The sequence below is a fragment of the Homo sapiens genome, chromosome 22, assembly GCF_000001405.40.
Source record: "Homo sapiens chromosome 22, GRCh38.p14 Primary Assembly".
In the NCBI taxonomy this organism is placed as follows: domain Eukaryota; kingdom Metazoa; phylum Chordata; class Mammalia; order Primates; family Hominidae; genus Homo; species Homo sapiens.
In genome coordinates, this window is record NC_000022.11 from 20,437,867 (window position 1) to 20,456,773 (window position 18,907).

Sequence of the window (18,907 nt, forward strand, 5' to 3'; positions counted from 1 at the left end):
GCAGGAAATTCCACATCGGCTCCCTGATCCCGGGCCAGCCGCGGCCGGCCAGGCGGCAGCGCCCGCCCCGCGCTCCAGACCCCACCCTCCGGCCTAGCCACCGCCCCTCCGCGCAGCCCCCGCCCCCATTTGGCCGCTCGCAAACTTGGGGGCGAACTTGGAGGAGGCCCGCCGAGCGCTGGTGGAGGGAGGGTCCGCCCGAGGAATCCCCGGTTCCCGCGCCTTTCCCTCCGCTCCCTAGACATCTACCGAAGCAGCCGCCCCTGCGCGCCCACTGCGTAGGCCAGGCCCGGGACGGGAAGGCGGATCGGGGACACGGACGCGACTCCGCAAGCCCACCCCCGCTCCCAGCGCCTCGGAACCGGCCAAGGGAGTGGGGCCCGCAGACAGCCCAGGTCGAGGCCGAAAGCCAACTCCACAGCACCCCACCGCGAAGTCCTTGTAGTGCTGGGGTGTGCGGTCAGCTCCCCCTGCGCACTCCTGCGCACTCAGAGCTCGCAAGGGGCGGACCGAGCAGGATGCTTGAGGCCTGTGGTAGACTCGGTCCGGACCAGAGGCCTGGGGGAAGGGGTCTCCGTAGGGACGGATGGGAGAGATACAGAGGAAGTAGAATGGCCAGGCTGTGGACTGCGGTAGGAAGTAGAGGTAAAGACAGAAGGAGACCCCCGGGATGGAAACCCTGCAGTCCTAGTTGAGGAGTGAAGGGGGCTGGGGGAGCCTGGGCGGTGGATTCTGCTGGCTGTCGGATTTCCAGGAGAGGCTGGGGCTAGAGAGTGGGAACTCCTGCATCAGGTAAGGTGGGTAACAGCACAGAGCAGAAGGAAGGTGTGGGAAGGGAGCAAGACAGAGGGACAGGCCCTAGGGAGCCAGCGGGGAAGCTGGACTTGGACTGGGAGGCAGCAGGGTGCGGGTCCCCGGGGGGCAACTGGGGCAGACCGACTCTGGAAGTTGGGCAGGGAGCACAAATGTCCCGTGTGTAGCCAGGTCCTAGTGAGGATGTTTGTCTTTTGGGGACTTGAGAGCTGGCAGAAGGCCTAAGCAGGGAGCGGGCACCTCCGTTCTTTGGGGAGCAGGCCACATGCGGCCCACAGGCTCACTGAGGGAGGGCAGGCAGACTCTGTCCAGGTGTGGCCAGATAGCCCCGAAGGGTGGGGCTGGAGGAGGGGGCTTGGAGGAGGAGCCACTGAAAGGCCCAAGGCCATGGGCATCACCAGGCTGGCACAGGCAGAGAGTGGGATGGGGAGGAGCAGGCCCCTCACTCAGCCATGCTGGTGCAGGAGGGAGGTGGGGTGGGCTGAAAGAGAAGTGGAACTAGTGTGGACACGAATGCAACTACCTGGGGACAAATAAACAGGCCAACCACTTCTGGGCAGCTCAGCCTGGGCACAGCCCTGACCTCAGCAATGCCCTCCCAGTGCTGGGGCCCCTCCCACGGAGGATCCGGATTGCGGCTCCCAATAGAGGCCAGCAGAGGTCCCAGTGGCTGCAAGGTCTGTCCCAGCCCAGCTCCTGGCTTTAGAGGCACTGACCCCCTGGGCTGGAGGGGACACTCACCTCAGCTGGATGGAGGTCATGAATAGGCATATCAAATTCCATCACCTTTCTCCTTCCCCCAGACCTGTCCAGGGAGGGCACCACCTGGATGGTGCCCCCCAATCCCCCAGGACCTCCTAAATGTCTTAGATCTCTGCCCACCCCTGTCTGCCACCCAGAGTAGTCTTTTTAATCTCACATGTGGCTATCCACCACTGCTCTCAGGATGAGGACCATCCCCAGTCTCACCTCACGACCCGGTACATACATCCCTTGCAGTAGATGGCAACTTTGGGTGTCATGGGCAGAGCCCTCATTTCTCCCAACCACCACTGCACCCCTAGGGGAAGACTGAGAAGTATGGGAGGAATGAAGGATCATCCACATGGCACTAGGATGTAGAAGGAACCCACAGACAATTGACCACCACGCAGGCAAACTGCTGGAGCCCGGAGCCCTGGCCTGCTGGTTTTGGCCAGGATGGCTGCCAGAAGGAAGTGGACTTTGAAGGCTGAGGAGGGTTTTGCATGAAAGCAGGGACCAAGAGCCTAGCCACACTGGAGAGCACAAGTTGGGCTGCCTCAGCTCCGGGGTATCAGGTGTAACCCTTAGAAACCCAGCTTAGCCCCAAGGCTGACAGTGGCAGGGCCAGGCTGCGCCCAACTCCAAGGCACTCTCCACCCCTCCCCAGGCTGTGCAGGACCTCAGTGAGCCCTTCCTGCCCCTGCAGACCAGAGGCCTCCTGCAAACCTGTGGCTGTGGCTGGTGGCTCAGGTGAGATGTTGCCAGCCAGCATGTTGTCAGGACGCACTGGAGAGTGGTGGGGCATGTCTGGTGCTCCTCCTTTCCAGAAACCTCTGAGGTCTGCAGGAGCTATTGCCCTGGCCTGCCAGGTGGTAGCAGAGACACAGGAAGTGCTGGGTCTGAGACCCACAGAGTGGGGTTCCTACTCTGAACCCATGCTCTTGCGCCTCACCCTCAGGAGAAAGGGAGATGACACTGGAGTGTATAGCCATCCCGCCCCACTAGGGCTCAACACTGGGTCTGCCACCCCAAGGCAATGTCATGTTTCCTCAGGGGTACTCAGGGCCCAGGACAGTGAGGAAGGTCTTCAGGTTACACACACACCCACATACCACAGCCCTGGGGGCACAGGCCAACTCTGAGGGCTTTGTCTCTACCCTCAAGAATCCTTGGGGTATCCATTTAGGAGAGCCCAGAGTGACTGATAGTCCCCCGTCCCCATCCCCTCTCCTCCCATCAAGGAGCACACACTGCCCCCTTCTCTTCCGGGACAGGATGCCAGCAGGAACACATGGCTGTCCCCATGCTCTGCCCAGTCAACTGGGAAAGGATGGGGCCTTGGCAAGTTACAGCCCTGTCTGCGGGATGGCTCTGGGCACAAGGCTCATAGTAGGAGTCTGCAGGTGCAGACCCTATGAGGGCATCAGGATGGAAGAAAGCTTCGTGTGGTGCAGCCCTGCAGTGAGGCTGGTGTGGGCTCACAGCCCATCCATGCAGGGTGCAGGCTAAGCCTGGCAGTCTCAAGAGGGCAAGAAAAGCATGGGGACAGGTGAACAGGGGAGGGTCCCAGCTGCTGTGCCAGTGTGGTCCTTGAGACTGGGTGCCTAAGGGTTACCTGGCAAACCTGTAGCACATGCAGCTCCCCTCCCCAGCACACTCAGCTTCAGGAGGTTGGGAGGAGCCGGGCACAGGCCAGAGGGGCCCCCCCCACCGACCCCCTGATGCTGCCCCGCTCCCAGGTGCTGAAGCTCTGGTTCCCTGACCCTCAGGCTGAGAGACTCCTAACGAGCTGGGCTGAAACTCTGCGTGCTGCCCTGGTTGGGAGACAAGTTCCACACCAGAGAAGACACTCAAGTGGCTGCACAACCACCTGTCACCAGACCAGGGCGAGTTCCAGCTTTCCCACTGAGTGCCCTGTTAGCTTGTGGAGTTTACTGTGCTTCCCTCTCAGGCAGGGTCTTCCCAGTGCCACTTGGCTTCTGGCCTGGGCTTCCACAGCCTCTCCCAGATGGCAGCTCTGACCCCAGAAGCCACGCTTCCTGGGGACGCAGCTTGGGTGCACTGTGGAAAGGAACTGAGGCTGTGGCTACAGAAAAACAGTTAACACCTTCTGTAAGATGCTTTATTTCATTGACCAACAACATGGGGTCTGAAAACCCAGCGGGAGGGGTCTTTTTATCACAGAGCCAGTCCCAGGCGAGCTGATGCATCTCTGCTCCTCTGCCCCTCAGGAGCTCTCATCCTCCAACCCCAGCTGCCCCCACAGCCCCACCCCATTCACAGAAAGAGGGCTACCACGTGCCTCAGCCCCCCTGCCCAGGCTGCCAGCTCCCAGGTCCTTTTGGAGAAGGACTGATCTAGGCAGGGAGGAGAGAAGGCCAACCCCTCCAGGGCTCACTGAGGAAGGCCAAAGCCTTTCAGAAGCAGTTCCTGCAGTGACGTAATCCACAGCCTGGGATCTGCATGGCCCTGAGATGCCTGCGGCAGGCTGGCCAAGGGGCTGGTGTGAAGAAAGAGGGCAGGGCCCATAAGCTGTGGCCAACAGGGGCAGGGGCCCTGCCTGGAGTAAAGTGCTCTGGCCTAGGCTGCGTGGGTTTCACTGCCCTGCAGCCCCAGCCTCCCTTCCCTCTGATGCCAGGCACAGGGAGCCTAGTCCTCACTGGAGTTGTCAAACTCCTCCCAGTCAGACACACTCATCACCTCAGAGGCAAAGTCCGGGTCGGCCTGGCTGCGGTCAGGGGTCCCGCGGGGCGGCTCAAGGAGCAGGGAGCGGGGCAGGGTGAGCACACAGGCCGCCAGGCCTGAGATGGAGTTGTCCAGCTGGGGCCCTTCCTCCCAGCAGTCCTTCTCCACATCGTAAATGTGCACGTAGCCTGTGCGGCTGCCGCGGTTGTGTGAGCGGCCACCTAACACATAGATCCTGTTGTCCAGCACAGCAATGCCAGGCTCACCGTGCCCAGCAGGGAGTGGGCAGACAGATGACCACTGTCCAGACGTGCAGCTGTAGCAGGCCACCTGCAAAGCCAAGGCTAGAATAAAGCCCAGCACCCACTGGGACGAGGCTGCCAGCTCCCCCACAAGCCCACTGACCAAGGTGGCAACAGTTACCCACCATTCTGACAGGTCAGGCCCCCTGGAAGGATGGCACAGGGCCAGTGTTGAAACATCCTGTCCATGGGCCAGGCTGCTGCTTTCTCACCCAGGGATGGCCGAGTCTGCAGGAGGCTGTCTTTTGGGCCCTCCCCTAGAATGATCCTATTCTCTCTGGCTTTGCTCCAGCCCAGCCCTTCCTCTAGGCCACCCGGCCCTAAGCCAGTCTCTGCCCCCGAGTGTGTGGCTGTGCCCCCATCAGCATGTGGTCATTCCCCATGTCTGAGGGCACTGCTTCTCTCCCCTCCAGGAAACGAAGCTGCCTGAGAGACATGGACTCCACTGAAATGTCTTCAACCTCCTTCTGCAGCACTCAACACAGGCAGTAGGACAGGGGGAGGAGACAGAAAGTGGAAGTAATTCCTTGCGGAGTAGTCAACATCAATATTCTCTTGTCTTCAAAATTGTCCAAACAGTAAACAAAGACATGGAAAAATGTTCAACCTACTAGTAATTCAAGAAACGCAAAATCAAAACATCAGAGACAAATTTTTCAACTAGCAACCACTGCAGAGAAGGAAAATCACAAAACCCAATGCTGTTGAGGGTGTGGTAAAGCCATACTACTATGTATCTGTCTGACATGCCAGAAAAGGAATTTGGCAATAAGTATTAAGAGCCATAAAAATCTTACCTTCTTGACTGATTAGCCGTTTTTGGTTCTCTAGCTATGGTGGGCAGAATAGTGGCCCCCAAAGATGTCTAGTTCCTAATCTCCAGAATATGCTACCTTAAGCAGCCAAAGGGGCTTTGCAGATAGGATCAAGGGTACAAGAATACAAAAAAAAAAAGGATTAAGGGTGCAGACCCTGAGATGGGGCAGTTTTCCTGGATTTTCCAGGTGATCCATCCAATTGCATGAGCCCTTAAAAGTGGAAGGGGAGAGGCCGGGCGTGGTGGCTCACGCCTGTAATCCCAGCACTTTGGGAGGCCAAGGCGGGCTGATCACAAGGTCAAGAGATCAAGACCATCCTGGCCAACATGGTGAAACCTCGTCTCTACTAAAAATACAAAAATCAGCTGGGCATGGTGGCACATGCCTGTAACCCCAGCTACTCGGGAGGCTGAGGCAGGAGAATCACTTGAACCCAGGAGGCAAAGGGTGCAGTGAGCCAAGAGCACCACTGCACTCCAGCCTGGCGACAGAGCGAGACTCTGTCTCAAACAAACAAACAAAAAAAGTGGAAGGGGAGGCCGGGGGTGGTGGCTCACGCCTGTAATCCTAGCACTTTGGGAGGCTGAGGTGCGTGGATCACCTGAGGTCAGGAGTTTGAGACCAGCCTGGCCGACATGGCAAAACCCCGTCTCTACTAAAAATAGAAAAATTAGCTAGGTGTGGTGGCGAACACCTGTAGTCCTCCTAGCTACTCCGGAGGCTGAAGCAGGAGAATCGCTTAAACCCAGGAGGCAGAGGTTGCAGTGAGCTGAGACTGCACCAGTGCCCCCCAGCCTGGGTGACAAAGCAAGACTCCATCTCATAAAAAAAAAAAAAAGAAAAAAAGGAAGGGTAAAGCCAGACAAGAGAGCTGAGAAGTGAGGAGGACTCAACCTGCCATTGCTGGCTTTGAAGACGAAGTGTCCCCAAGCCAGGAAAAGTGGGGACCTCTAGAAGCCAAGAAGGCCCTCAACTGACAGCTAGCAAGGAAATGGGACTGCAACTGCCAGGGACTGAATTCTTCTAACCAGAGTGAGCAGGGAGGCAGATCCCCACTAGGGTCTCCACAAAGGAAAGATGCCCTGACCGCACCCTGGTTTTAGCCTGGCAAGGCCCATGTCAGAGGACTTATGAATGCAGAATAAATTTATCTTAAGTTGCTATGTTTGTGGTGATAGGTTACTGAAGCAATAGAAAACTAATGTGCTGGCCCAGAGGATCTCACAAGCAGAGGACCTGTTAAAAGCCAGATCGCCAAGACCCACCCTCAGGGCTTCCGAATCAGTGGGTCTGAGGTGCCTCGTAACACAGCGTTCCCAGGTGATGCAGACTCTGTTAGTCTGAGAATCACACTTTGAGAACTGTTGCATGAACCTAAGGAAATAATCCAAAATACCTGAAAAGCTCAACAAAGCAACTATTACTTGTCATGTTATTTGGAATAGTTAAAACTTAGACACAAGAGGGGATGATGAAGATTGAGTGTTAATCTGGAAAATGCCCAGGACAAAAGTCACTGAGAGAAGCAGAATGGGATATGGGATGCTCTTTTTTGTTTGTTTGTTTGTTTGTTTGAGACAAGGTCTCGCTCTGTTGCCCAGGCTGGAGTGCAGTGGCACCATCACGGTTCACTGCAGCCTCAACCTCCTGGGCTCAGTTGATTCTCCCTCAGCCTCCCAAGTAGCTGGGACCACAGGTGCAAGCCACCATGCCTGGCTAATTTTTTTTTGTATTTTTAGTAGAGATGGAGTTTCACCATGTTGCCCAGGCTGGTATCAGTTCCTGGACTCAAGCCATCCACCTGCCTTGGCTTCCCAAAATGCAGGGATTACGGGTGTGAGCCACTGTGCCCAGCTCAGAATGGGATGCTCTTTGACTACAATCAGGCAGAAAACATACACGGTCAATGCTGAAAATGGTCATACTGAAAAACAGTACTGCAGGGGCCTGATTATGAATGCTTTTCCTCACCCTTCTCTATTTTTTTTTTTTTTTTGAGATGGAGTCTTGCTCTGTTGCCCAGGCTGGAGTGCAGTCGTGTGATCTCAGCTCACTGCAACCTCTGCCTCCCGGGTTCCAGCGATTCTCCTGCCTCAGTCTTCCCAAGTAACTGGGATTACAGGCGCCCATCACCGCACCTGGCTAATTTTTGTATTTTTAGTAGAGATGGAGTTTCACCATCTTGGCCAAGCTGGTCTTGAACTCCTGACCTCGTGATCCACCTGCCTCAACCTCCCAAAGTGCTGGGATTACAGGCGTGAGCCACCGCGCCCGGCCACCCATCTCTATTTTTTAAAGTTCCGGCAATGTGGTTATATTAACTTTATAATAAAAGTTTTGTTCTGTTGTTTTGTTTTATTTTGTTTTGAATAGAGACAGGGTCTCATTCTGTCACCTAGGCTGGGGAACAGCGGTGTGATCATAGCTCAGTGAAGCCTCCAACTCTGGGCTGAAACAATCCTCCCACTTCAGCCTCCTGAGTAGCTGGGACTACAGGTATGTGCTGCCAGCCTGGATCTAAAAGTTTTGTTGTTGTTTTTTTTTGTTTTTTTTGAGACAAGGCCTGGCTCTGTCGCCCAGGCTGGAGTGCAGTGGCGTGATCTCAGCTTACTGAAACCTCTGCCTCCTGGGCTCAAGCCATCCCCCAACCTCAGCCTCCCAAGTAGCTGAGAGTACAGGCATGCAACCACACCTGGCTAATTTTTGTATTTTTGTAGAGATGGGGTTTTGCCATGATGCCCAGGCTGGTCTCAAGCTCCTGAGCTCAAGTGATCCTCTCGCCTTGGCTTCCCAAACTGCTTGGATTACAGGCATGTGCCACCACATCCGGCCTAAAAGTTTTTAAGAGTAATAAGCAAAGGTAGATGTGTATGTGTGTGATACTGTCATGGTGACATTTGTCCAAACCTATAGAATGTGCCAAGAGTGAACACTGTGGACTCTGGTTGATGGTGATGCATCAATGCAGTTTCAACAACTGTGACACATCCACCCCTCTGGAGCGAGAGGTCTGCAGTGGGGAGGCTATATGTGTATGGGGGGAAAAGGGGGTGTATGGAAACTGTACCTTCCACTTAATTTTGCTGTGAACCTAAAACTGCTCTAAAAAATAGTCTATTTTTAAAAGGCACATGATTCAATTACATTTTCCATCAATAACAACTGAGAGGCTTGGGAATGATGACGGGTGTGGACTGCCCCGGGCCCCACTCACCTGGTGCACGTCCCTCCTGTATCCGGCATCGTTGTTGCTGCCCCCGATCACATACAGCTTGTTGAGGAGGGTTGCCATGCCGTGCCAGGCGCGCCGCACAGGCCCATCAGCCAGTGTGTGCCAAGTGTTGCTGCCTGGATCGTAGCAGTGTGTCTCTTTCAGGTAATCCTCCCCTCTGCGGCCGCAGGTGATATACATCTTCCCCTCCAGCGTCGCGCCTGCGTGGGCATACACCTGTGTGGAGCCACCAGGAGAAATGGCGTGAGAGGGCAGTGAGGAAGGGTGGCTGGGTACTCTGTCAAGGCCAATCACCACCCCACACCTGCCTGACAACGCTGTGAGGCTTCACCACTTCCCACTCACATACAGACAAGAATCCTCCCTCGATTCTCATGGGACATACTGTCCTAGTCATTGACCTCTAACCTCTTCCCAATAGCGGATACATCTATAGACTCAGAAATGAAATGTAGCCTTTGTCTTTCCTTTGCTCCTAAAGTTAACATCTGCATGGGGGAACTCCAAGAAAATAAAAGCATTTTTTCCAAGCCAGTCTGGAAGAAGCCACAGAACCCTGGGGACCGCTGACCCACCCTCAGTGGCCTCCACCCCTCCCCCACTCCCACTGGACATGCAATCCTCCGGGCCTGCTGACCCTGCTTTTAAAATGTTTGTAAATAATATCTGACACTAAACTCATGATGTGGGGAGAAAAATACACATGGTTCTTGATTCTGGTCCTGAACCTTCTGTGGGCTTTTTACCCTCCCTCTGTTGGGCTATCTCCATAGGGCCCAGCCTGCCCCCATCATGGGCACCTCTTACCCTGGCCCTACCACTTCCGGAACCCACCCACTCACACCCAGCAGGCCAACAGAAGGCCCCAAGGCAAGGCCCTGGGTGTTTTGAGGGTAGAGGAGCCCCTCAGGGTGTGGAGGCTCCAGAGCTATGTTACTGGGCAAGTCACTAACACTGAGGCCATGCGGGTGGCAAAAACACAAGAGTCTAGAGAGGTGGACGGAGCAGTGGGGAGGAAGAACACACACCAAGGGTTTGGTTTGGGTCTTCTCCTATCACCAGTAGGGGTCTGGGGAGGTTTTTCTTTTTTTTTTTTTTTTTGAGACGGAGTCTCGCTCTGTCACCAGGCCGGAGTGCAGTGGCACGATCTCGGCTCACTGCAATCTCCGCCTCCCGGGTTCGAATGATTCTCCTGCCTCAGCTTCCCGAGTAGCTGGGATTATAGGCGCCCGCCACCATACCCAGCTAACTTTTGTATTTTTAATAGAGACAGGGTTTCACCATGTTGGCCAGGATGGTCTCGATCTCCTGACCTCGTGACCCACCTGCCTCGGCCTTCCAAAGTGCTAGGATTATAGGCATGAGCCACCACGCCCAGCCGAGGTTTTTCTTTTTAATTAAACTTTTCATTTTGAGATAAGTGTAGTCACGTGTAGTTGGAAGTAAAAATACAGAGGTCTCACGTGCCTTCTTTCCCCCATGGTAGGAGCCTGTGTCACTATATCACAGGGTCACCAGGATGCTGACGTGGACACAGCCACAGAACTGTCCTATCACCACCAGGATCCCGAGGGGCTGCCCTTTAGGGTGACATCCACTCACCTCCCTTACCCTAATCCCTTCCTTAAGCCCTGGAAACCACCAATCTCTTCTCTATTTCTACAGTTTTGTAACTTCAAGAGTGTTGTCTGAATTAAATCAGTATACAACCTTTTGACATTGGCTTTCTACCCCAACCCAGGTTCTACCAGGTTGTTGCATGTACAGGTTGAGTACCTCCAAAATCTGAGACTTTTTGAGCACAAACACGGCACTCAAAGGAAATGCATTTCAGACTTTTGGATAAGAAATGCTGAACCAGTAACTATAATGCAAAGATTCCAAAATCTGAAAAAATCTGAAATCCAAAACACTTCTGGTCCCCAGCATTTCAGATAAAGGGTACTCAACATGTACCAATAGTTGGTTCCTTTTCTATTGCTCAGTAGTATTCCATGGGTATCTACCACAGCTTGTTTAACCATTCACTGTTGAAAACACCTGATTTGTTTCCAGTTTCTGGCTATTACCAATAAAGCTACTATTAACATTCATGTACAGATAAGTTATTTTTTATTTTTTTGAGACAGGGTCTTGGTCTATTGCCCATGCTGGAATATAGTGGCACAATCTTGGCTCACTGCAACCTCTGCCTCCCGGGTTCAAGCAATTCTTGTGCCTCAGCCTCCGGAGTAGCTGGGATTACAGGCACGCATCACCATGCCTGGCTAACGTATACAGAGTAGTTTTCATTTCTCTGGGATAAATACCCAGGATGGTAACTGCCAGATCTGTTTTCCAGAGTGGCTGTACCATTTCACATTCCTATCAGCAATCCATGAGCATAGTTTCCCTGCACAGTCACCAGTATTTCGTATTTTCACTACTTTTTATTTTAGTCATCCTGAGGTAGTTCTCTCACTGTGGCTTTAATTTGCATTTCCCTGATAGCTAATAATGTTACATATCTCCTTATATGCTTATTTGCCATCTATACATCCTCTTCAGTGAAATGTTTCTTCAACTCTTTTGCCTTCTGTTTTTTGTTTTGTTTTGTTTTGTTTTGTTTGTTTTTTTTTGAGACAGAGTCTTGCCGTGTCGCCCAGGCTGGAGTGCAGTGGCACAATCTCAGCTCACTGCACCCTCTGCCTCCTGGGTTCACACCATTCTCCTGCCTCAGCCTCCCAAGTAGCTGGGACTATAGACGTCCGCCACCACATCCAGCTAATTTTTTGTATTTTTAGTAGAGATGGGGTTTCACCGTGTTAGCCAGGATGGTCTCAATCTCCTGACCTCGTGATCCACCCACCTTGGCCTCCCAAAGTGCTGGGATTACAGGTGTGAGCCACCGTGCCCGGCTTCTTTTGCCCTCTTTTTAATGGGGTTATTTGCAGTATTTTGCCAAGGTTTTTTGTTTTTGAGATGGAGTCTCACTCTGTCGCCCAGGCTGGAGTGCAAAGGCACGGTCTCGGCTCACTGCAACCTCTGCCTCCCAGGTTCAAGCAATTCTCCTGCCTCAGCCTCCCAAGTAGCTGGGATTACAGGCGTGTGCCACCGCGCCCAACTAATTTTTGTAGTTTTAGTAGAGATGGGGTTTCACCATGTTGGCCAGGCTGGTCTCTGGTCTCGAACTCCTGACCTCGTGATCCGCTCACTTCAGCCTTTCAAAGTGCTGGGATTACAGGTGTGAGCCACCACACCTGGCCGTTTATTGAGTTTTAAGAGTTGTTTATATATGTATTTATTTAATACTAGTCCTTTGTCAGATAGGTGGTTTGCAAATATTTTTTAATTTTGATGAAGTCCAGCTTATCAATTTTTCTTTTTATGGCTCATGCTTTTGGGGTCAAGTCTAAGAATTCCTTGCCTAGCCCTAGCTAGATCCTCAAGATTTTCTTCTGGTCATCACGTCGCGTGGCCGCAGGGAGCAGACCCGGACAGCTCCAGAGCCTCCGGGCCGGGGCGGCGGCGGCGACGCTTCGGCTCCTCCTGAGCCACCTGCTGGACCCGCACCCCACTCCATCCCCACAGGCTGGGGACAGGCCCTGGCGCGGCTGTGTGGGATCAGAAGCAGAGTTGCAGAATCCAAGGACCTATTTTTGTTCTTTCTCCGCACTGCTTTATGGGAGGCATTATGGCCCCCAAAGACATAATGACAAATACTCATGCTAAATCAATCCTCAGTTCAATGAACTCCGTTGGGAAGAGCAATACCTTCTGTGATGTGACATTGAGTAGAGCAGAAAGACTTTCCTGCCCATGAGATTGTGCTGGCTGCCTGTAGTGATTACTTCTGTGCCATGTTCACTAGTGACCTTTATAGAAGGGGAAACCCTATGTTGACATCCAAGGTTTGACTGCCTCTACCATGGAAATTTTATTGGACTTTGTGTACACGGAAACAGTACATGTGACATGGAGAATGTACAGGAACTGCTTCCTGCAGCCTGTCTGCTTCAGTTGAAAGGTGTGAAACAAGCCTGCTGTGAGTTCTTAGAAAGTCAGTTGGACCCTTCTAATTGCCTGGGTATTAGGGATTTTGCTGAAACCCACAATTGTGTTGACCTGACACAAGCAGCTGAGGTTTTTAGCCAGAAGAATTTTCCTGAAGTGGTACAGCATGAAGAGTTCATTCTTCTGAGGCAAGGAGAGGTGGAAAAGCTAATCAAGTGCGATGAAATTCAGGTGGATCCTGAAGAACCAGTCTTTGAGGCTGTCATCAGTTGGGTGAAGCATGCCAAGAAAGAGCAGAAAGACTCCTTGCCCAGCCTGCTACAGTATATGCAGATGCCCCTGCTAACCCTCAGGTATATCACAGATGTAATAGATGCTGAGCCTTTCATCCACTATGGTTTACAATGCAGGGATCTGGTTGATGAAGCAAAGAAGTTTCATCTGAGGCCTGAACTTCAGAGTCAGATGCAGGGACCCAGGACAAGGGCTCGCCTAGGAGCCAATGAAGTGCTTTTGGTGGCTGGGGGCTTCGGAAGCCAGCAGTCTCCCATCGATGCAGTAGAGAAATATGACCCCAAGACTCAGGAGTGGAGCTTTTTGCCAAGCATCACTTGTAAGAGATGTTATGTGGCCTCAGTGTCCCTACATGACCAGATCTACGTCATTGGTGGCTGTGATGGTCGTTCCAGCCTTAGTTCAGTGGAATGTCTAGACTACACAGCAGATGAGGATGGGGTCTGGTATTCTGTGGCCCCTATGAATGTCTGATGAGGTCTTGCTGGAGCCACCACCCTGGGAGATTTGATCTATGTCTCTGGAGGCTTTGATGGAAGCAGGCGTCACACCAGTATGGAGCGGTATGATCCAAACATTGACCAGAGGAGCATGCTGGGAGATATGCAGACAGCCCGGGAAGGTGCCGGACTCGTAGTGGCCAGTGGAGTGATCCACTGTCTAGGAGGATATGACGGCTTGAATATCTTAAATTCAGTTGAGAAATATGACCCTCATACAGGACACTGGACTAATGTTACACCAATGGCCACCAAGCGTTCTGGTGCAGGAGTAGCCCTGCTGAATGACCGTATTTATGTGGTGGGGAGATTTGATGGTACAGCCCACCTTTCTTCCGTTGAAGCATACAACATTCGCACTGATTCCCGGACAACTGCCACCAGTATGACCACTCCACGATGCTATGTAGGGGCCACAGTGCTTCGGGGGAGACTCTATGCAATTGCAGGATATGAAGGTAAGTCCCTGCTAAGTAGCATTGAATGTTACAACCCTATCATCAACAGCTGGGAAGTCGTGACATCCATGGGAACCCAGCGCTGTGATGCTGGTGTGTGTGTTCTCCACAAGAAGTGACCATTGTTGGAGCACCATCCAGAGCTAGTGACCAGTCCAGTGGACAGTTAGTGGGAGAATCAAGAATCCTTTCTAGAATGTCTGTTTCTCACTATGTGCACAGGGTGATTACAGGCACCAGTGCAGTGATGATTGTACTTATTTGACACATACTCCCCCTCGTCCTGGTTGTTGTTCCTGAGAAGGGTGGGTAACAGATACTCCAGGGAAAAGAATGCACATTGAATGGATGTGAGAGACCACATTACCTCTCCCACTACTTTGGGGAGCACTTTCCTGTCATTTCTAACTTACCACGTGCTTGGTGTACTATATGTATGTTGTGCCTCATATGTTGCAAAGAACTAAGGTGAGTATAGCCTACTAGATGTGAGCAATATCCAGCCTAGATGATTGGAAAGATACCAATTTAAGTAAACTTGGTAAAATCCAAGTCTTTTTTTTTTCCAGGAACAAATACATTTTCTAATCTACAGGTAGCTAGGGGCAACACAGTTCCATTCTAAAGGGAAACAAAAGGGAGAGCCCCACAAAACTTTGGGGGCAAGGGAGAGATACTCATCTGACACTTCTTTTGGAGGTCAGGGTTTGTATATCAGAATTGAAGTTAGAATCAGTGAATTAAACTGAATTTGATGGAATGTGAGTGAACCTAGAACAGCACTGAAGTATTACATAACCTGGAAGACTGAGAAGGGTATATTCTTTGAATGATCTTTTTATTTCCCCAAGGTCTTTCACACTGGAGACAGCATAAAAGAGTGAACCAATGTTGGGATGAGAGAAGATGACATAAATGTGGGAGTTCAGTATAACTGGGGATAAACTAGAAGTACCTGTGATTTTACAGTCATCTTATTGCCTGCCAGGGGTCATCTAGCCATGGCAGTGTTAACCTTGAATGGGGGTGAAAGCCTTTCTTTGTTGAATCAAATACTACTACACTATTACACTTCCACACTATTTATTTGGGGATGGACTGGGAGTGACAGTAGCCTAGTAGTTCAGCTACCTGATTACTGCCCCATTCTTTTAGAAGCACACTTCTGCCAAGGAGTGGTTTGTACTGCTGTGATTGGTACATTTAGTCTTTTTTCTGCTATAAGTTTTCCTTACCTGTCCTTTAGTGTAGATTTTATTCATTACAGGACAGAATAATCAAGGACAACCAAAATCCTTTTGTTAGTTTCAGTACCTCAGCTATCAACATTTCTGAGCTATCATTCAATGTTCCTCTGTGTCATGGAGTGAAATTCTTGTTTTATGGGTATTGGGAGTGTGGGAATGTGATAACCTAAACAACCTTTGCTCTGAAATTCCATTTTTCCCTCTTTCCCTGAAGTGTACTGACCTGTACTACAGAGTTAATTTCTTTTGTATTTTTTTAAGAAAATATTAAAAATCAATGGTCTCAAAAAAAAAAGATTTTCTTCTTCTTTTTTTCTAGAAGTTTTATGGTTTTACATTTAACTCCATAAACCATTTTGAATTCATTTTGGTATATGGTATGAGACTTGGGTTGATATCCATTTTTTTGCCGACGCATGTCTAATTGCTCCAGTACTATTTGCTGAAAGATATCTTTCCTCCACTCAATTGTTTCTGCACCTTTGTCCAAAATCATGTGTAACATGACTGGGCATATTTACTCAGGTCTGTGGGTTTTCCATTCTGTTTCACTGATCTATGTGTCTATCACTGTATCCATACCACAGCCTTGATTACTGTAGCTATGTAGTAATCTTGAAATTGGGCAGACTCCTCCCATCTTATCGTTCTTTTTCAAAATTATTTGAGCTATTCTAGTTCCTTTGCCTTTATATATACATTTCAGAATAATCTCATTTACATCTAATGTCACAAGTAAAATCAAATCAAAATTAAAAAATTTATTTTATTTATTTTGAAATTTATTTTATTATTATTTTTTGAGACAGTCTCACTCTGTCGCCCAGGCTGGAGTGCAGTGGCGCAATCTCGGCTCATTGCAACCTCTGCCTCCTGGGTTCAATCCATTCTTGTGCCTCAGCCTCCCCAGTAGCTGGGATTACAGGTGTGTGCCACCACACCCAGCTAATATTTGTATTTTTAGTAGAGATGGGGTTTCACCATGTTGGCCAGGCTGGTCTTGAACTCCTGACCTCAAGCGATACACCATCCTCGGCCTCCCAAAGTGCTGGGATTACAGACGTGAGCCACTGCGACCAGCAATAAAAAAAAATTTTAGGCTGGATGTGATGGCTCACTTCTCTAATCCCTGCACTTTGGCCGAGGCAGACAGATCCCTTGAGACCAGGGGTTCAAGAACAGCCTGGGCAATATGGTGAAACCTTCATGATACTAAAAATATAAATATTAGCTGGGCATGGTGGTGCTCACCTGTAATCCCAGCTACTTGGGAGGCTGAGGCAGGAGGATCACTTGAACCAGGGAGGCAGAGGTTGCAGTGAGCCGGGGTCATGCCACTGCACTCCAGCCTGGGTGACAGAGCGAGACTCTGTCTCAAAAAAAATAAAAATAAAAAAATTTTTAAAAAGCTTATTGTGCATGTAAAAGAAGAGTTCATGAACCAGGAAACCCCAAACTGGAAGTGGTATGAAGCCCCAATTCACAGCAGTTACAACACAGTTTATAAAGCATGAATGAGGAAGAATATTGTTCCCTACTGTGCATGTGGAGCTGCATAAGCTTTCTTTGTAAAGCTATCACACTGAGGGAGGAAAGCTTAAGTTTCAGTTACATGGCTACAGGCAGTTGGCCTAGGGGTATATCCAAACCTCAGCTTCAATTTTCATTTTCCCTTAATAGTACAAAAAACCTTCCTGAAATTTTGATAGGAATACTAGTATTCCTGTATTAATACTATATCAATATGAGGAATTCTGTATTAATATATGTATTATTAATTGGGTTGGGAAAGAACTGACATTCTTACTATTCTTACTCTTCCAATCCATGGACTTGGTATGTCTCTCCATCTATTCACATCTTCTTTTATTTCTTTCATCGGCTTTTTGTAATATTCAGTGTACCAATCCTGTGAGGTTTTTTGTTTGTTTGTTTTGAGACGGAGTCTTGGCAGAGTCTTGCTCTGTTGCCCAGGCTGGAATGCAGTGGTGTGATCTCAGCTCACTACAACCTCTGCCTCCCGGGTTCACGCCATTCTCCTGCCTCAGCCTCCTGAGTAGCTGGGACTATAGGCGCCTGCCACCATGCTCAGCTAATTTTTGTATTTTTAGTAGAGATGGGGTTTTACCATGTTGGCCAGGCTGGTCTTGAACTCCTGACCTCAGGTGATCCCCCCCGCCTGGGCCTCCCAAAGTGCTGGGATTACAGACGTGAGCCACCGCGCCCTGCCAACATGACCTATCCTTTTTCATTCCCCAACATCTGATCCATCAGCAAGCCTGATCAGTTTACCTCCACGCTACACTCTGAACCCTCCCATCTCCCTCCAGCTCCACAGCTGTGTGCCAGCACAGGCTACTGCTGTCTTCAGCCCAGACCACGCAATGACCCAGGGCCAGCCTCGCTTGCTCTGCTCTTGATCCTTGGGCTTCCTTCTTCTACAAGCATGCCCCATGCTTCCTCTCCTGCTCAGGAAAAGCTGTGAGCCCCTCTCCTGCCCTGGAAGGTCCTTCTGCTAGACTAGGCAGATGGTTAGATATGAGCAGGGAAGTGGACTCCAGGTTGGCCTCAGCCCCTAGCATGGCCAGAGGGACTATGACCTCTGAGACATGTTAACCACACCTGGGGTTTCAAAAGTCCCAACCCCTCTTTCAGTTAAGCTTATCCAGCTCAAGTAGGAACTAACCCCACAAGGAACTTTCCACCCCCGGGAGCCTGTGTTGTATAGTTTGCCCCAGTTTTGCTTGCTTCGAAAGTAACCTTTTGTTCACTGCAGTGGTAAAAAACACACCTCCTGGGTGAAGATTTAAGATGCTAATGAGACATGCGATAAATACACTAGCACGTAGAGCCACAGTGCATGCGCTGCTAGAAGACCACCCAAACAAAACATGCTTATGAGTAACACCTCTTCCCGCCCATTTATGAATAATCATGTAAGCCTCCTGTAAGGGAGGTTTCCCATGCCAGTTGGGGCGATCTTATTCTGGAGCAGCCTGCTCTGACTCGGCCTTCAGAATGTACCTTCACTTTTGCAATAAACTGCCTTACACTTATCTTCGTTAATGCATGTCTCTTGCTTAAAGTCTTAACCAAGAAGACAAGAACCGAGGACACATTCCCAGTAACATTTCCTCCCTCTGTAAATGGCAGGTCTAATTGACATCTCCTCAGATGGACATTCCCCAAAAAGTCCCTCTAGATTCATCCTACCAGAGCCCCCTCCCTGGAAATCCTCCAGTTCAGCCCCCTCTTCATTTCACTTACCATAATTGTAACCACTTTACTGATCTGTTTTCTGGTTAAGAGTGGTTTCTCCTACAAGGCTGTAAACACCATGGAGTGGGGAGTCTTTCTCATTTCTTGTCACCACTGGATTCCCAGGACTTGGTACATGGTGCTTAGTAGTTGCGGAATGAATGCGTGCATGAAGGAACACCGGCAGCCACGATGCAGCTGGTTGAAAGCCAAGGCTGCCCCTCTGTGGCCAAGCTGGAGAACTGCTGCTTCCCCAGCTGCCGCAGACAAAGAAACTGCTAAGCCCCTCCCACAACACCCACCTAGGAGGCTTCCCCCAACACCCTTCCTGGAACAGAACCCAAGAGCCCTCCTTGTCCACTTGGTCTCAAGGACCTCCTGATCTTCTCCATGCAAAATCTGCTCCTTTCCCCAGGATGGGGGTACGGAGTGTCCTTCCAAAGAGGCTTCCTTCTCCCCAAAGAAGCTGAGAGCAAGGAGCAGGCCACAGCTTGCAGCTCACAGCTGCCCAAGAGACAGAAATCTGTGTGGGCTGTGTGAATGACCTGGATAAAGAAGAGCTG

At 50.7% G+C, this 18,907-nt stretch overlaps 1 protein-coding gene, 1 long non-coding RNA gene and 1 pseudogene across 12 annotated transcripts in view, besides 6 other annotated features; 2 read left to right on the forward strand and 1 right to left on the reverse strand.

Moving 5' to 3' along the window:
* LOC107985588 (uncharacterized) lies at positions 130-5,337 on the forward strand. Its single transcript, XR_001755623.2, has 2 exons — positions 130-645; positions 4,958-5,337. It is a non-coding gene; the product is annotated as an uncharacterized LOC107985588 (long non-coding RNA).
* KLHL22 (kelch like family member 22) overlaps positions 3,653-18,907 on the reverse strand; it is a 54,277-nt gene continuing 39,022 nt past the window's right edge. For 10 of the 11 annotated variants that reach the window (NR_033825.2, XM_017029025.2, XM_017029018.3 and 7 more), the window contains 2 exons: positions 8,577-8,810; positions 3,653-4,572 (listed from right to left, as the gene is read on the reverse strand). Coding sequence is in view for 9 of the 11 variants with exons in the window: in XM_017029025.2 (XP_016884514.1) it covers positions 4,207-4,572; positions 8,577-8,810 (600 nt within the window). In the remaining 2 variants the exon portion in view is untranslated. Of the gene's footprint in view, positions 4,573-8,576; positions 8,811-18,353; positions 18,602-18,907 lie in introns of those variants that run through there. The other variant, XR_001755341.3, reaches the window with a different exon arrangement.
* Positions 3,830-4,331: an enhancer, noted in NCBI's record as "H3K4me1 hESC enhancer chr22:20795983-20796484 (GRCh37/hg19 assembly coordinates)". NCBI's record gives its function as "activates a minimal SCP1, AML or CMV promoter by ChIP-STARR-seq in naive and primed H9 embryonic stem cells {active_cell/tissue: H9 hESC(naive and primed)}" and the evidence as "EXISTENCE:reporter gene assay evidence [ECO:0000049][PMID:30033119]".
* Positions 4,332-4,831: an enhancer, noted in NCBI's record as "H3K4me1 hESC enhancer chr22:20796485-20796984 (GRCh37/hg19 assembly coordinates)". NCBI's record gives its function as "activates a minimal SCP1, AML or CMV promoter by ChIP-STARR-seq in naive H9 embryonic stem cells {active_cell/tissue: H9 hESC(naive)}" and the evidence as "EXISTENCE:reporter gene assay evidence [ECO:0000049][PMID:30033119]".
* On the forward strand, positions 12,063-15,374 carry KLHL12P1 (KLHL12 pseudogene 1; annotated as a pseudogene).
* Positions 13,131-13,300: an enhancer, noted in NCBI's record as "experimental_62725 CRE fragment used in MPRA reporter constructs". NCBI's record gives its function as "activates a minimal promoter by MPRAs in K562 erythroleukemia cells, with activity observed for the non-introgressed 22:20805369 variant allele {active_cell/tissue: K562}" and the evidence as "EXISTENCE:reporter gene assay evidence [ECO:0000049][PMID:34662402]".
* Positions 13,448-13,617: an enhancer, noted in NCBI's record as "experimental_62734 CRE fragment used in MPRA reporter constructs". NCBI's record gives its function as "activates a minimal promoter by MPRAs in K562 erythroleukemia cells, with activity observed for both the introgressed and non-introgressed 22:20805686 variant alleles {active_cell/tissue: K562}" and the evidence as "EXISTENCE:reporter gene assay evidence [ECO:0000049][PMID:34662402]".
* Positions 17,480-17,649: an enhancer, noted in NCBI's record as "experimental_62743 CRE fragment used in MPRA reporter constructs". NCBI's record gives its function as "activates a minimal promoter by MPRAs in K562 erythroleukemia cells, with activity observed for both the introgressed and non-introgressed 22:20809718 variant alleles {active_cell/tissue: K562}" and the evidence as "EXISTENCE:reporter gene assay evidence [ECO:0000049][PMID:34662402]".
* Positions 18,398-18,899: an enhancer, noted in NCBI's record as "H3K27ac hESC enhancer chr22:20810551-20811052 (GRCh37/hg19 assembly coordinates)". NCBI's record gives its function as "activates a minimal SCP1, AML or CMV promoter by ChIP-STARR-seq in naive H9 embryonic stem cells {active_cell/tissue: H9 hESC(naive)}" and the evidence as "EXISTENCE:reporter gene assay evidence [ECO:0000049][PMID:30033119]".